The 18,012-nt window shown below is 41.5% G+C and overlaps 1 protein-coding gene across 7 annotated transcripts in view; it reads right to left on the bottom strand.

Moving 5' to 3' along the window:
- GRIN2A (glutamate ionotropic receptor NMDA type subunit 2A) overlaps window positions 1–18,012 on the bottom strand; it is a 429,505-nt gene that overhangs the window by 19,324 nt on the left and 392,169 nt on the right. The gene's annotated exons all lie outside the window — the stretch shown is intronic.

The raw sequence follows: 18,012 nt of genomic DNA on the forward strand, positions 1-18,012 counted from the left end.
GATTCCCAGAACATCTTCCTTTCGGTGTTGCCTCAAACCAAGCCAGGTTTGTAAGCCTGTAAGGAGGGCAGTCTGATATAAGAAACATCATCTCGATTCTTTTCAGGATGTAAATAAAAAGATTTCCTTCTGCCCTTTGCCCAAACAATACCTCTTTTTAGAGGAAATCAACATGGTAAAGCAGACTTCAATTTCAAAAAAAAAAAAAAAAAAAAAGAGCAAATGCACATTTCTCATTACCAATTACAGCCTGTTCCAATCATTTTCAAATTAATCATTTCCTGCCTCGTGGCCCTCTTTGACTAGCGTACTGAACTGTAGTTCAAATACTTTCTTATTTCATTTTTAATTTACTCAAGTATATTGTAATCTCCTGGAGGGAGATCAGGGACCATGTTTTATGGTTTTGATATTTTTCGTGGCCTGCAGCACGTAGTGAGCATTGAATCCATATTTTCTGTTTCTGTTTCTTTTCTTACATCCCCAGGCTTAAACTGGGCAGCATTGCAGAAGTGTTCAAATCTGTTTAGTGAGTTATTCTGCCATATAAATAGAAGGAATACAAAGCAAAGGGGAACTTGCAGCGGGCTTGAGAGTAAAAGGCTGGGAAATGTGCATCCTTTAGGTAGGGTGAAGCATCAAATGTCGTTTTTCCAAGGAGTGGCTCTATGATATTTATTCTGCTGCCAGTTTCTCCTATTAAAAAGAGGCCGTGATCTTTGTCAGTGTGATCTTGTGAACCAGAGCTGATAAATGGGGCAATTAAATCTCTTTCCTGAAGCAGACTCATTCTTGCTGGGAACACACAAGCTAAATGCTCTCTTGGGAACAGATGGAGCCTGGGAAGTTTTGGGGTTGCAGTCAAACCACACTGCCTTTGTCTCCCCACCGGAGAGGACTGGTCCCCATGTAGCACTCAAAGCCCTCTCCTTTTGTGTTTCCACCTCCTCCAGTGACAGTAAGCTCATGCACATTTGCAGAACTTCTTTGCGCCCATGGGAACTTGCACCTGTTCTTCCTATATCTGTTTTCAGGGGAGATGTTTCCAGCCACAAGTATCTCTACTAACCACTTAGTTCTGCACCATCGTGAGGAAAGCTGTAAGTTCAGTAGAAGGAGCAAGGTGTCAAGGTCACTCTTTTCCTAATGCTGACAACATTAAAAGACAGAGTAATAGAGTTTCAGGAGTCAACCGTCAGAGAGATGCAGAATCTAAAAGGGAACAGGCAAGGGTAATTGAGGCAGTGTTGTGTGTGTGTGTCTCCAACTTGCTTCCATTCCATTTAAAAGGGAACAGGCAAGGATAATTGAGGCAGTGTTGTGTGTGTGTGTCTCCAACTTGCTTCCATTCCATTCCACTGGCTGCTTGGGTCAGGCTGTAAGAAGGCTGGTTAGACAAAAGGCACAGACAGGATGCAGACAGTGGAGGAGTTTCTCCCATTACCCATCCACCCACTGACAAGGTGGAAGCCAGGGGTTTTATATTTGCAAAAAGGAATGAAAGAAAATTCAACTAGATACTGTCCAGCAAATTACAAGAAAGAATGTTTCAGGTAGAAAACACTAGAATGAGATATAAAAGGAAGCACCCTTCCCTTAAGATTTTGGGGAGCACATCCAGTCATCTGGTAAGGTCTAGATAGTAACACAGAGGTATTAATACACTCAGGTATTAATACACTCAATATCTGAGTCAGACGGCCTGCATTAGACTCTTGGCTTCCACAGGTACCGGCTCTTTGATCATGGTCCAGGTACTCTACTTTAATCTATCCAACTACTCATCCATTCATGTATTTATTTTTCTATTTAACAAAATTACATAAAATAGACTGTCCTTCAGGTACTATACTAGAGTTTAAAAAAATTAACTCATGTAAACTTAATATGGCTTGTCTAGTTTACAGATGAGGGCACGCAGGTGCAGAGAGGTTAAGGAGTTTGCTTAATCACTCTAAGCTTCAGTTTTAATATCGAGCAAATGGGAGTACATCAGAATTTATCTCATAGGAGTTTTGTTAGAATTAAACGATGTTGCATACACACAGTGCCTGGCATACACTAATTACAAAATCAGTATTTCTGGAGATATTATTATTGCCTGAAATCAGGGAAGCTGGGGGGTGGGATGGACCACATAATGCTCTCTGTGCCCTTCTAACTCACTCTATCTATGATTCCAAGAACGCAAGTCCAGGGAGAAGGTTCAGCTCTCCATGGAGACTCTCTTATATCCAAAGTAAGAGAAATTAGTTCTCTATTTGCCCTAAGACTCATTCTCAGCACTTCCAGAGGAACTGCAGTTTTTGGGAATGGATTTTATAGCAAGCAATGTGACTAGCCTTCAAACTTCCCAAGTACCTCTCCCCTGAGGTCATTTGTGAAAAATCCATTTTGAACCTGTACCCTTTAGGCTTTGTCCAAAATTTGCTGAAACATATCTTCTAAAATCAGCTTCCACAGGCACACGTCTACATATTTTTTTTTTCTTGGTTTCTTGCCAAAGCACCTGACCCAAGGCAGTGATGAAAGATGAAAAGAGAGAGTATGTGGTTCTGAGAAGCTGAGTTCGATGTTCTATTTCATGTCTGGTCAAGGAAGCTGTTGCTTTTTGGTTTTCCGAGGACTTCATTTGTTTTTTTTCTTTACTCATTCATTCACTCATTGAAAAGAGAAAATTTGTAAAGCACTTAACATGTGGCAAACATCTCTGTATTTTCATATAGAGATGAATTACAGATAGTCTTTGGCCTCTAAGAGCTCATTCCTGTGAGAGAGACAGTCATGAAAACCAGTAGTTACGGCAAAATGAGATGATTGGATTTGCATAGGGCTGGAGGCAGGAAGAAACAAGGAGTGTTGAGATCAGAGAGCAGTTCAGGATTTCTGGGAAGGAAGAAGGGATCAAAGGAGGAGCCCGAAGAGTAGAAGCCAGAATGCTAAGAACTTGATTTTCATTCTAACAAGTCTGGGGTACCCAGGGAACAGCAAGGCCGTCAGATGTACATCTGTAGTGAACACCCAACTATTTTCTTAGTGGACCCAAGGTTCTTCAGTTGTTGCTCATGTTTCTCCAGTCATGGCCCCCTGATTGGAAATCCAGTGTCTCCTCACATACAATAGGAGGTAAGCTGTGATGAGTGAGTGTGCAATGTCTCATTCAAATTGCAAATGTGTACAATGGTGCTACCATGTGGAGGAAGGTCACCAGTCAACTCTATCCTGGTGACACAGTCACTATTAGAGTCCTGTCCTGATTTCAGAGTCAGACAGAAGACGCAGCTTAAGCTTTCCTGTTCCGAGGTTATGCAGTGACTGGGAGAAACGCACTTACAAGAAACTGCTGGCAAGGATTCATTGTAAACTGTCACCAATATCATAACCCATTACAGTCTACTCTGGATATACCAGCTGCATGGTATTTGTGCTGAAAACTTGGCAATAGCTATCTTTGGTGTATAGCTCAGAGGTATCCACCTTCAGGAAGTCTTCCCTGAAGGCACAGGAATGTAAATATGACGCCATGGTTTCCTCTACCATAACATCCTGGATTTTTTTTTTTTTTTTTTGTATAGAATTTGTCACAGTGGAACGTAATTGTCACTGGGAGGTGAGTTTATTCAGGGCAGGGATCTTGTTTTATTCTCCTTGTACCCCCAGTCTGTGGCACAGGTCTTGGTACATGTGGTTCATGACATTGCACCAACTGTGGATAACACAAGGCTCCTGTCTCCTTGATTAGTTTGTGATCCACAGATCTGAGGATCGGTCAGAGCCCAAGACAGGAAGAAGTTTGAGAAGCCCCAGGCAAAGGGGTGAGGAATAGATTCTGAAACCCAGAAATCAAGGCTGGCTCTTGGGCGAGTATGTTCTCATCAAAGATCCCAGCAATAGAGCCTGGTGGTTTCCTACAGGGAACAGACTTCCATCTATAGCTGAAAGACGTCAGAAGGTTGTTGCTGCTGATCTCATTCGGGTTCGCTGTGAACACCGAGAGGGTAACTGACCCCATTTCAATCCTGTTTCATGTCTTGCCCAGGGGTTGGGTACTTTGGGTTTCTCAGAAGCCCGATTGGAATTGGAAATGGCAAAGGAACAACTTTTTTATGGGAAATCTAGGGCACAGATTCATTGGCAGGCTCATGTTCTCGATGACAACAGACTTGGTCATTCTGAGTTCTGAGTTGTGGTCCTGCAATTGAGGATGGCCTGGGGGACACAGAATTGGGGCCAAATCCTCTCCTTGCCCAGTTGTCCTGTAGATGAAAGGAAGTTGTGTATCAGATTTGGGGATGTGGTCTGTGGCCTTGGAGCAGAGTAAGATCAGCTAGACCATCTGAGCTTTGACCTTGAGGGCCCAACTTCATTAATTCCACCATCTTGACTCAAAGCCATGTGAGGCAAGTCCACCCTCCCAGATGCAGCAGTGAGAAACTCATTCCTTTCTCTCTTCCCTGTGGTGACCCAACACCCATGTTGTTTTAAAGACAAATTTAAAAACTCTCAAAAGGACAAAACAAAGGCCCAATAAATCTGACAAATAAGAAAAAAAAATGAGCTAGAGAAAAATAAGACCCAAGTAACCCTGGGTTCAGAAATAATATTCTGGAGCCTGTGACCTCTGTTCTCACGATCTCAGAGGGTCACTGAACTATTTGCCGAAGTGAAAAAATACTTTTGATGGTGGTGGTGATAGGAAATAGTACAAGATTCTGGACACAAATAGATTGAATTTGGGAGATAAATATTCCTTATTTAAATGTCAGAATATTCCATTTCTGTATAATGCTGAGAAGTCACAAAACCAAAATAAAAATAGGGCTAGGCTTAAATGTATCCAGTTAGAGGCAGGGACAGGCTGTCTTTGGCATAAATGTTTCACCGCCACCTTCCAACTGAGATTTCTGCTCCATGGATGAAACTTGAGTATTGTTAAGTTCATTGCTACTTGTCACATTGCAGGATTTCACAGGCCACGTGATTAGTCGCACAAGTTGGATGGAGTTGGGGGATTTTATGCACACAGGTTCCCAACCATAAAATCTCCCAACTCTGGCCGGGTGCAGTGGCTCACGCCTGTAATCCCAGCACTCTGGGAGGCCGAGGCACGCAGATCACCTGGGGTCAGGAGTTTGAGACCGGCCTGGCCAACATGGTGAAACCCTATCTCTACTAAAAATACAAAAAATTAGCTGGGCGTGGTCGTGGGCGCCTGTAATCCCAGCTACTCAGGAGGCTGAGGCAGTAGAATCACTTGAACCTGGGAGGTGGAGGTTGCAGGGAGCTGAGATCGCGCCATTGCACTCCAGCCTGGGCAACAAGAGTGAAACTGTCTCAAAAACAACAACAACAAAAAACCCAACTACAACTTGTGCAGCTTCCCAACCAGTGTCTCTTTCAGAAGAAAAATTAAAAAGAGGATTGGACAATAAAAGATTGGACAACTCTATCAAACATCAAACAATACACATGGTCATAATTTTCCATTACTGGATGAAGTTGGAGAGATACAATTCTTTGAAGTAAGACGGCAGAAACCTTGTAGGAATCCAGGAAACCTTATTATATACCAAGCACTTCTGGAATCTGCTTAACCAATCTGCCTCACACAAATAAAGACGGTCAAGCTGACATGGCTTAAAAGGCACATGCATTTGTGAGCACAAATGAATTCATAGTGACTTTTTGCCATTGCATATTTTCTCAATCAATAGTCCTCAAAATCTGATGACTTATCATGGGAAGGTTATGAGGACTTTTTAATATCACAAAGGAGTTCTTGTGTTTTAAACACATACAGATTTAAGAAAAAAAAGGATAGCAATAACTTCAGATCCCGTGCTGTTTTGAGAGCCACTGGCTAAACTGGGTTTCCAGTACTACAGCAGCTAACAACCCTGCCCTAATGACCAACGAGGGGAAGTAAATCTGGGTGTTTACACGTGCCTTTCACAGGATGCTTCTTTTACCTAGTAGACAACCTCATGCCTAGTTTTCCTATCCATGACCAGGGGATCTCTCCCAGGAGGAACTTATTTATAACTGCTGATGCCCTTGCAGCTCTTGTCTGACCCATGTCCAGTTTATGTCTGCCTGATCATCGCTCTGGCACTGGAAGCCCAACCTTGTAGTCTCCCCGAGGGAAAACCCAGTCTGCGGTAGTTCCTAGGTCTTCAGATGAAAGGTGCAAATTCAATACACCACCATATAGAAAATAAGCTCAAAGATTTATTACTTACACATCCTGGGCAGGGAGGGTGCAATGAATCAAGAGGACAGTTTTCTGCTCCTGCATCACACAAGGCAAGAATGAAGAGTCAGCCCGAGAAAGAGAGAATGTGGCCAACTAGTGGTACATAAAAGGGAATAGCGTGCGGGTCACTTTAAGTTTGCAGGCAAATGCCTGAATGATCCATTTAAAGGAAGCAGTGGGAAAGCATGGAGCCTGGTCTCCCAGGTTGGGGAGATGCCTCTGAGTTCTTATCTCTGGCCAGGGGCTTCAGCCATTTGGGTGTGATGCTTCTCTTGTAACTCCAAGGTAACCTATGCTGTGTTGCTCAGTTCTACATGCCAAGAAATAGCTCCTCTTTTCAGCAAGTAAAATTATCTCACTGCTTTTCAGTTTCTTTTTTATCGAAGTGTTGTCAACAAGTTCCTTGAAGCTGTAAAATCCAGAAGCGAAATGGATCACTTCCATTTGATCTGTATTCCCCATTGCTTAGTATACACAAGGAGCTTAATGGGCATCGGAGACTTAGTTGTGGAATGAAGAGAGAAGGAGAGAGTGGAAAGGAAAGAAAAGAGGACAGGGAAGAGAAGGAGGAGGAAGAAAAAGGGGAATGGAGAAGGACAGAAAGTGAGAAATAAAACTATTACAGAAGGGACCCTATATCAGCTGTCAGAACCATCCGTAACTAAAGCAGAAGGAAGACCCTGTTTTTCTTTCCATAGAGGGTAATAGGGTGGTGTGCAGGGCTGGGTTATGACTTAGGAGAGCTCTCAGCTCTTCCTTTGATGACATCCTCCCGCTCCCCAGGTATGGAGGTGCTCCTCTGACCTCCTCTCCCTTTTCCCAAGTCTAAGGCACCAGATGGGGTGAGACAGTGGCCAGGGATGAGTGGAAGAGCACATGCGGGTGGCAGAGAAGCTAGATATCAATTCTAACTCAGGAAAGTAAGTGGGGCAGACTCCACAGTCCTCTGCCCCCATTGTACTGACATTAAATCTGAGGTCAGGTTACATGAACCAAGGTCACAAAATAAGGCAATGTTGATGTTGGGGCAAGAATCTGGATCTCTAAATGACTGGTGGCAACAGCCAACCACACAGCCACTGATGAAGACACCTAGAGTTCTGTTGCACAAGCCAGCTTTACCTCTTACAGAAAGTCGAAAAGGAGCACTTGCAAATTGGAGAAACTACCTGCACTGCTGGCAGGAATGTAAATTGGTTTACATTTTCAGAACACTGGTTCAAAGTATCTACTAAAGTTGAGTAGACGCGCTCTATTACCCAGCAATTTCATTCCTAGGTATATTTCCAAACCAATAAGTGCCTTTGTGCACAAGAAAGGTACAAAAATATCCAAAGCAGACAAAAACTAAAAGTGATGTAAATGCCCATCAGCAGCAAAATGGATAAATTTGTACGATAAAATACCACCCAGCAACGAAAAAAAATAATGAGCTGTGGTTACATGCAGTAATATGTATCAATGTCACAAGAGACATCAATGAATACATGTTGTATGATTCCACCATTTATTTGAGGATCAAAAGAAGACAAAACCACCCCATGGTCATGGAGGACAGAATGTTGATTACTTGTGGGGGGCATATTGACTGGCATGGGCCATGAGGAAGCTTTCTAGGATAGTGGTCACATTTTATAGCTCAATCTGGGTGGGAGTTGCACAGCTGTACAAAAATTAACTGGATATTGGGATTTGTGCAATATAACGAATGTATGTCATAGTTTATAGAAGGTAACAAATAGAAAAAAACAGTGAGTGGCATAGTACAGGTATAAGTGTTCTTTTACTTTGGGGGTTAAGTGAGGTAATAATAAGGAAAGTTGAAGAAAACAGACTTTCTAAACCAGAGGAGAGAAAAATACAAACTTTTTTAAGCGTGATATTTCTTTACAAAAAGAGAAAATTTCTTTAAGGATAAGGGGAAACCAGTCATGTTTAGTTAAATTCTTCCAATTGTTGGAATTGTTTCAAAATAACATGTCACTTTTATTGTTTAAGCCAGAGGTCACTAATCTTTTTTTTTTTTTATGGTAAACGGCCAATTAGTAAATATTTTCAGCACTACAGGCCATACGGTCTCTATCACAACTACTCAACTCTGCCTTTGTAGCACAAAAACAGCCATAGACAATGCGTAATACAGGAATGAGTGTGGTTGTGTTCCAGTAAAACTTTATAAAAAACATGTAATGGGCCATAATTTGCAGAATTCTGATTTAACCAATCAAAACATGAAACATGAAATAACTTTTTATATTTATATAAAAGAGATAGCATGTTGCACCTTCTAAAATAGCAAAAAGAACTGTAATGCCTAATGCTGCTAGATAGTGGTAAAATTGGTACATTGATCCACTATTACTATTACTTTAGATGGAAACAAAACTTTTTTTTCTTTGAGACAGGGTCTTGTTCTGTCACCCATGCTGGAGTGCAGTGGAAGGAACACTGCTCTCTGCAGCCTCAACCTCCCAGGCTCAAGTGATCCTCCCACCTCAGCTTCCAAAGTAGCTAGGACCACAGGTGCATGCCACTATGCCTAGATAATGTCTTTATTTTTTGTAGAGATGGGGTCTCACCATGTTGCCCAGGCTAGTCTTGAACTCCTGGGCTCAAGCAATCCCCCCACCTTGGCCTCCTAAAGTGCTGGGATTACAGGTATGAGTCACTGCACCCAGGGTTAACAAACCTTTTGGGCATCAATATGACGCCATATATCAAGACTCCTAGAGATCTTTAGAACCAGTAACCTTTAAATTCTACATCTAAGAGTTTGTTGCAAATAGTTCAAAAGAAAAAAGAAATAGGCATGAAGAAATTTCTTCCATCGTTATCTATACTAGCCAAATATCAAAATGTGTAGCATTTGGAAAATAATGTAATGGTTTCTGGTTTAATAAAGATGATGACATTTTATGCAAAAAATTAAAATAATTGTGAAAGCAGATAGTATAGTTACATAAGAATGCTTAAAATGTAATAATAAGTGAAAAATCATGGACTATAAAAGTATATATAACCAATAATTATAATTAAAGAAATGTGTCTGCAAGTAACAGGGATCAGGAGATAATACATAAATTAAAAACAATTATGTTAAAGTAGTAGATTGGGGTGATTATATGTACAGTCAGCCCTTTCTGTATTTGTGAATTCAAATGATCACAGATTGAAAATATTTTGGGGAGAAAATGGTGTCTGCACTAAACATATACAGACTTTTTTTTCTTGTCATTGTTTCCTAAACCATACGGTGTAACAACTATTTAGATCGCATTTATATTGCATTAGGTATTATAAGTAAACTAGAGATGATTTAAAGTATAAGATGTGCATAGATTATATTCAAATGCTACACCATTTTATATCAGGAACTTGAGCATCCACAGATTTTGGTGTCTGTAGGAGACCCTCAAACCAATCCTCCACAATACTGAGGGACAACTGTATATATAATATATTGCCTTTCCAAATTAAAGTGTTTAAAAAATATAGACTGAGAGGGATTTGGGGCCACTGTTTATCCATGCCATAAATTTTGCACGAGCCTATGTGACATCAATGTTTGACTTACCAACAAGCCATTCATTATATCTTATTTCCACTTTGATGGTTCTCTTGACATTTGACTTTCTCTGGTTTGAGCAATTCACTGCTTGTCAGGCATGGGCCTGGCATGCTGACCTTGTACTAATCCTGGTGTTGGATTGATAACAGACACTAAGATTCTGAATCTCAACAGGCCCATTAGGGAATTCACTGCAAATTTACGCAGATTAAATCCCCTGGAGTTTTACCACTGAGGAAGACTCAGTGGCTCTCCAGGATATTTATGGATATTATCTGTTTCTTAATAAGTACTGTTCCATTATTATTCCAAATATGTCTCTAGTTAAAATTAGGAGGGAAATAAACAAGTCTAATTTTTATGGTATCATCTGGTCACAGGCCAATGGAGAAGCAGTTAAGTCCTTTATTGCTAATCTATGCTTAGAACTGACATATCTCTTATTTGAAAACGTTGCATTTCTGAATAAATGGTTTGCCCTAGACAGTTTTTGGGTCATAGGAGAGTAAGTGACTTAGTTGTTGGGGCATCAGAATGGTTATTAATGATCACCCCCTTCTGATGTCTATATCATCAGTGTATTATCTTTGTGTATACATGAGGTTTATGTACATGCAAAAGTCACCCACATACGTGGGAGCAATAATGAAATCCACATAAAAAATTAGACTCAATCAACGGTCTTTAGCTGCACTTTCCCCGTGGTTTCACATGAGACCCCGTCTACACGTATAAGGAATCAGGATAGCCATTGCGTCCAAATCTAGTTCCAGATCCGATTTAATCGATAGAAGTGCTGGCTCAGTCTTTACCCAAATGTGGGGTTTTCAGTTTTGCCTGCTTTATTTTTAACACTGTTATTATAGTCAATAAATGAAAATGAAATCTTTGGAAGCAATAAAGGCTTTCATGTCTATTTCGATCCTTCCTGGATGAGGAAGCTTAACATTAAAGCTTATCTGACTACGTCTTCCATTCATAGCCTACCCTCATATCTCCTATGTTCTTTATTGTGGTTGGCATGTGGACTAACGCTTAGAAGTGCCAAACCATTTATGCCTCTAGTTTTCACAATCACCAAGGGCTCTGTGTAAACCCAATTAGAAGCCCTGAGAGAAAGAGAATGAATAAAACTCAGGGCAAAGATTCAATATCATGGACCCCAACTGAGTGATTGGATGGCAACTGATATGTGTACTCAACGTCTGCCAATCACAGGATAAAATGTTTCTAAATGGTAAATATTGTTACTTTAAAGAGTGATTCTTAAACCTTATGGATGGAGCTGAAGACCATTATTCTCAGTAAACTAACAAAGGAACAGAAAACCAAATACCCCATGTTCTCACTTTCAAGGGAGAGCTAAAGGATGAGAACACATAGACATATAGAAGGGAGCAACACACACTGGGGCCTAATGGAGGGTGGAGGATAGGAGGAGGGAGAGGATCAGGAAAAACAAATAATGGGTACTGGGCTTAATACCTGGGTGATGAAATAATCTGTACAACAAACCCCCATGACACAAGTTTACCTATATAGCAAACCCGTACATGTACCCATGAACTTCCAACAAAAGTTTTTTAAAAAGAATTATATGGCTGGGTGTGGTGGCTCACAGCTCTAATCCCAGCACTTTGGGAAGCCGAGGTGGGTGGATCACCTGAGGTCAGGAGTTCAAGACCAGCCTGGCCAACATGGCAAAACCCAGTCTCTACTACAAATACAAAAATTAGCCAGGCGTGGTGGTGGGTGCCTGTAATCCCAGCTACTCGGGAGGCTAAGGCAGGAAAATTGCTTGAACCCAGGAAGCAGAGGTTACAGTAAGCCGAGATCTCACCACTGCATTCCAGCCTGGGCTACAAGAGCAAAACTCTAACAACAACAACAACCAAAAAAAAAAAACAAACAAACAAAAAACCTAAAACCATAAAAACCCTAGAAGAAAACCTAGGCAATACCACTCAGGACATAGGCATGGGCAAGGACTTCATGTCTAAAACACCAAAAGCAATGGCAACAAAAGCCAAAATTGACAAATGGGATCTAATTAAACTAAAGAGCTTCTGCACAGCAAAAGAAACTACCATCAGAGTGAACGGGCAACCTACAGAATGGGAGAAAATTTTTGCAATCTACTCATCTGACAAAGGGCTAATATCCAGAATCTACAATGAACTCAAACAAATTTACAAGAAAAAAACAAACAACCCCATCAAAAAGTGGGTGAAGCATATGAACAGACACTTCTCAAAAGAAGACATTTATGCAGTCAAAAGATACATGAAAAAATGCTCATCATCACTGGCCATCAGAGAAATGCAAATCAAAACCACAATGAGATACCATCTCACACCAGTTAGAATGGCAATCATTAAAAAGTCAGGAAACAACAGGTGCTGCAGAGGATGTGGAGAAATAGGAACACTTACACTGTTGGTGGGACTGTAAACTAGTTCAACCATTGTGGAAGTCAGTGTGGCGATTCCTCAGGGATCTAGAACTAGAAATACCATTTGAGCCAGCCATCCCATTACTGGGTATATACCCAAAGGATTATAAATCATGCTGCCATAAAGACACATGCACACGTGTGTTTATTGCAGCACTATTCACAATAGCAAAGACTTGGAACCAACCTAAATGTCCAACAATGATAGACTGGATTAAGAAAATGTGGCACATATACAACATGGAATACTATGCAGCCATAAAAAATGATGAATTCATATCCTTTGTAGGGACATGGATGAAGCTGGAAACCATCATTCTCAGCAAACTATCGCAAGGACAAAAAACCAAACACCACATGTTCTTACTCATAGGTGGGAATTGAACAATGAGATCACATGGACACAGGAAGGGGAACATCACACTCTGGGGACTGTTGTGGGGTGGGGGGAGGGGGGAGGGATAGCATTAGGAGATATACCTAATGTTAAATGACGAGTTAATGGGTACAGCACACCAACATGGCACATGTACACATATGTAATAAACCTGCACGTTGTGCACGTGTACCCTAAAACTTAAAGTATAATTAAATATATATATATATAATGTAAAGGGAGCAAATGCCTGCTTTAAGAATTTTCACTTAAAAGTTATAAAATATTATAAAATTATGTACATGGAGATTCAATTTAGAACACTAGATAAAAAGTATAAGTTTCAATAAAAAAAACCCTTAATGTGTATTAGAATCACCCAGAAAGGATGTAGAAATGCCCCACAGGAGGTGAAAATTAGGTGTCTGTATTTTCTTGCCAAGTGATTCTATTGGATGCAAAATGTCAAAAGCATCTCCATAGGCAAGGGCAATAGAGCAGGAGTGTTTAATCATTTTTATATCCCACCACCTGGAGTTTAAAAGCTGCTCAGTTGTTCTTTGTTGAATCGATGACTAGAAGGGAGAATGAATGAATGAACAAATGGGTGAATACATGGGAAGGGGGTTGTCAATGGCACCCAGTTCTTCCTAACTTGATTAGAAAGTTAGTAATTTACAGACTAGCCCAGCTCATCCCCAACTGTGATTTCTGCCTTTGAAGTCTCAATTTGATTAAAACACGTTTAGCAAGGAACAATAACTTTCTGAAATTCTGGAGATTATGCAGCTCCAAGAAGCTCTGTGGGGAACAAGCAATTCCAGCAACCAAGACAGGTCTTTGTGAACCTGGAGAGGCTGCTTTGCAAGCCTGTATCGAGGCCAAACATCTGACTTCTCTTAATTACATTCTGTCCTTGTTTCATTCCTTCTCATCTCCTGCTTCTGGGTCCTTAGTTTTCCCCAAACTGGCAGGGTTGAATGATCTCAAAAATTAGGCTGGGCCTGCTCCCACGGTGCTGGGGCCTGAGGCATGGACGAGTCTCCTTCACCATGAACAATGGAAAAAAAGTGTAGGTCATTTTCTCTCCCACCCTAAACTTCTGTCGCAAAGTGATTTTGCCCAGTACCTTCTGCAGGGTAATGATGCTGTTTCATTAGTAAAAGAGGAAGGAGCACTGACTCTGGGGTGTGACCTACCTGTGTTTAAATCACAGCCTTGCCCCTTTCCAGATGAGAAAACCACCTGTCTTCCAAGATGTCTATGAGGGTTTATAGCAGCTAAAGAAGTAACATCATGTAAAGATTAAAGCAAAGATCCTGGCGCCCTCCTGCATAGGTACCAATTGTACCAATCTCAGATCTCCCACTTAGCTGGATAATCCTGGACACCTTACTTAACTGACCTGTGACTCAGTTTCCTCATATGTAAATAGGAATGAATAATTATAACTCCATGCCATTTAGTCATTGTGAGGGGCAAATGAAATTAATATAAGGACCAAACTCCGACCATTTTCTTCTCTTGCCCAAAGCCCTATCTAAGGGACCTGAAGAGTCACATCCTACAGACAATAAAGTCTTGTCAGAGGGGTTTTATTCCATGCTATATAACATGGCTTAGTTTCCAACTTTGGCAGAACATCACATGACAGATAAAGGAGGAAGTCAAAATATTTTACCTCCAAATATGTTTCTTTGCCGTATTTTTAAATGGCCTGCAAAGCCATTCTTGTTGGGGAAAAATGCATCTTATATATATATTCTCTATTAACATAACAAGATCTTTCCCCATTCCAGGCCCTCCCAATCTTGAAGAGACTATCTGAGAATCCAGCATCTTTTAGAGGTCTGAATAGAAACACTGAGGCTTCATGCACATAAGAACCCTAGTCTCCACAACTCCTTCTCTTAACCCAGAAAGTCCTTTCTCTTGATTCCAGGCATTTCTATAATAATTTAACTCTTTCAACCAATTGCAAATCAGAAAATCTTTGGACTTTGACTCTACCTTTTACTTGTGCCCCACCCTCTACCCCACTTCGGGTTATCCCGCCCTATCAGACTGCACCAATGCATGCCTCACAGGTATTGATTGATGTCTTTTGTCTCCCTAAAACATGTAAAACCAGGCTGTAGCCCAACCACCTTGGGCACATGTTCTTGTTCTCAGGACCTCCTGGGGGGCTGTGTCCTGGGTCATGGCCCTCACATTTGGCTCAGAATAGATTTCTTCGAATATTTTACAGAGTTTGGCTCTCTTCATGGATAAATACATACAAGGACTGAGATGATTTTGTGACATGTAGTTATCCTTCTCGTGTTACTTATTATGACAAATATCTATAACAATCATGGTAGCTGTTGAACTACTTCCATGTGGAGAAATGGAAAACTGTCCCATCCTCTCAAACGAGGTTTTCAGATGCTCTGCAGTTCCTCTCCCCTCTATTTTTACTTTGCATTTATCTCTTTAATTGGGCTGAGGCTGCTGGTTGTAATGGGTGTTGCTGAGTCATCTGAGGACACAGGGACCTATGTCAGGAAGAATTGCTGGCAGGGAAGCCATCGAAAGACAGATTAGACATCTCCAAGGCAGGAGTGAGTCATCTGGTGGTCTGTGCCTTGTACCAACACACCGGAGCCGAGGAGAAGCACGGATGGCTCTGAGACATCTTCAATTTCATCTGCAGCATGGCTAATTCTCAGTTTAATAAAACTAGCCTGCTCTGTGGATGCACAGGCTAAACATTGCCTGAACTATCACTTAGCAAACATTTCTTACCTCTCCCACTCCTTCTTTCTTTGCCTCTCTCTCCCTTTACTCCTCCCTTTTTTCTCTCTCTTCCTTTCTCTTCTCTCTCCTTACTTTTTGACTCTATTTTTTTTCTTTTTTTTTGGGATGGAGTCTTGCTCTGTTGCCCAGGCTGGAGTGCAGTGGTGTGGATCTCAGCTCACTGCCACCTCCACCTCCTGGGTTCAAGTGATTCTCCTGCCTCAGCCTCCAGAGTAGCTGGGATTATAGGTACCTACCACCATGCCTGGCTGATTTGTGTATTTTTAGTAGAAATGGGGTTTTGCCATGTTGGCCAGGCTGGTCTCAAACTCCTAACCTCGAGTGATTCACCTACCTTGGCCTCCTAAAGTGCCGGGATTACAGGCATGAGCCATCATGCCTGGCCTTCTTTTCTCTTCTTTATCCTTTATTATTACCACCTCCTTCTCCTTTTTTCCCCCTCTAATTTCTCCCTCATATATCTCTATCCCTTTTTCCTTCCCCACACTATTTGTCTTTCTTTCTTCTTGTTCTCATCTTCATCTTCTCCCTTCTCTTAGGAGAACTGGACAACCAACTTTAAGTCTTCTTTTTTTTTTTTTTTTTTCTGAGACAGAGTCTCATTTTGTTGCCCAGGCTAGAGTGCAGTGGCGCGAACTCGACTCACTGCAAACTCCGCCTCCTGGGTTCAAGTAATTCTCCTGCCTCAGCCTCCTGAGTAGCTGGGACTACAGGCACCCACCACCACACCTGGCTAATTTTTGTATTTTTTAGTAGAGAAGGGGTTTCACCATATTGGCCAGGCTGGTCTCGAACTCCTGACCTCGTGATCCACCCTCCTCGGCCTCTCAAAGTGCTGGGATTACAGGTGTGAGCCACTGCACCCAGCCTTCTCTGCCCTTCTTATCTGTCTCCAGACAGTCTAGACTAGGTGCCATCAAACTTGTTCTGTAAAAGGCCAGATAATAAACATACTGGCCTTTGCAGGCCTTATGGTTTCTGTTGCAATGACTAGGCTTTACATGTGATTGGGTTTCAATAAAACTTCATTTTCAAAACCAGGCAGTAACCGGGATTTGGGTCATGGGTTTTGATAAATGCTAAGGGAAATACTATTTTTTCTTGGTCGCCCTCTTCATCATAAACCAGCAGACTAAAGAACAGATTTCAGCCTCATGGTACTAATTTCTGGGCCCCTGAAGGTACAGTCCCTCTCTCCCAGGTTCTTGATTAAAGAGACTGAATCCCATATTCCAGAACCCTCCCTAGATCTGGTGGACATGGAAGAACCATGAGTTCTGACTTATGTTGCTGACTATTATGTGGGAACGCCTGAATTCCTGTCTGAGTTTAGAGAATTTGGAAAACAAACCTTGGTTGATAAGATATATGAAACATACATACACACACACACACACACACACACACACACACACACAAACACATAAATAAATTAAGGAGGACGCTTTTGAGTGTTTAAATTCTTAGGACTGCAGCAGCAAGTTTAGCAAAGAACACAGTAGGAGCTCGATCCAGTTTGGCAAAGGGTCTGGCTAAGTCAAAACTGTGCAATTATCATTCCTGGTTGTTGGGGTTTTAGAATTCTCTATTCATGCTAATGACATTGCAATGAACAAAACCACATCAGTGAAGAACAGCAAAAGTCAAGGGTGGAGCAACGCAGCTTTATTTCACAAGCCCCTCCTTGGGGAAGGCATTAGAGCTACAGTTTGGAAGAGGTTTGCATGGAAGAAAGGGAGAAACTGTGAACAGGGCTGGTTTGTCAAAGAAAGACATAAACCAGTGGTGTGTGCCTGGGAACACTATGGATATGAAACTTGTCTACTGTTCTCCCATTAGCATGCAGTCTTGCCTGAAATAAACAAAGCACATGTTTTGGAGTCCACATTGTTTCTCCTGTCTTGCCTCTACTGTGCTGCAGGGAAGGAGGGTGCCTGGGAGACAGCAAGGCTCATTCTACTGGAGGCTTTTATGATTTGGATGGGGCTGCTGACCAATATGCCTGGAGATACCCCAACTGTCCTCTACGACCATTACTTCTACTGCAGAGGTCAAGTCTTTCCCAAAGAAACAGAACAAAGGACCATCACTGGTTTTGTGTTCCCTTTGTTTTGTTTTTAATATATAATTTGTCTAGGAGGCAGAGAACCTGGGTTTGAGCCCCAACTCTGCACTCCCTCGCTGTGCATCTTTAGGTGAGGTCATATCCCCTCTGTGGCTTCAGTTTCCATATTACTGGACTAAGTAGCAATTTATGATCCACTACAGTTGTAAAAGCCAGGGAATATATAATTCTGTTGGTTATATGCCTCATATTGCACATATTAAATATGTGCATATATGTGCCTCATATGCATATTGCATATATTGCATTAAAGAGCATAATACAGGGATATTTGACTATTATAATATACAAATAAGACAATGGAGGAATTTGCCTCTATCTTGTGGTGAATACAGAGGTAAGATGCCTGGGAAGACTGTCAAAAGATTGGCAGTGATTCAGTGATTACCTCCTTGCATCTCTCTCTCTAGAGGTATCTAGTGTCCTTTCTAAAGAAAATAAG

This window comes from Homo sapiens, chromosome 16, assembly GCF_000001405.40.
Source record: "Homo sapiens chromosome 16, GRCh38.p14 Primary Assembly".
NCBI classification, from domain to species: domain Eukaryota; kingdom Metazoa; phylum Chordata; class Mammalia; order Primates; family Hominidae; genus Homo; species Homo sapiens.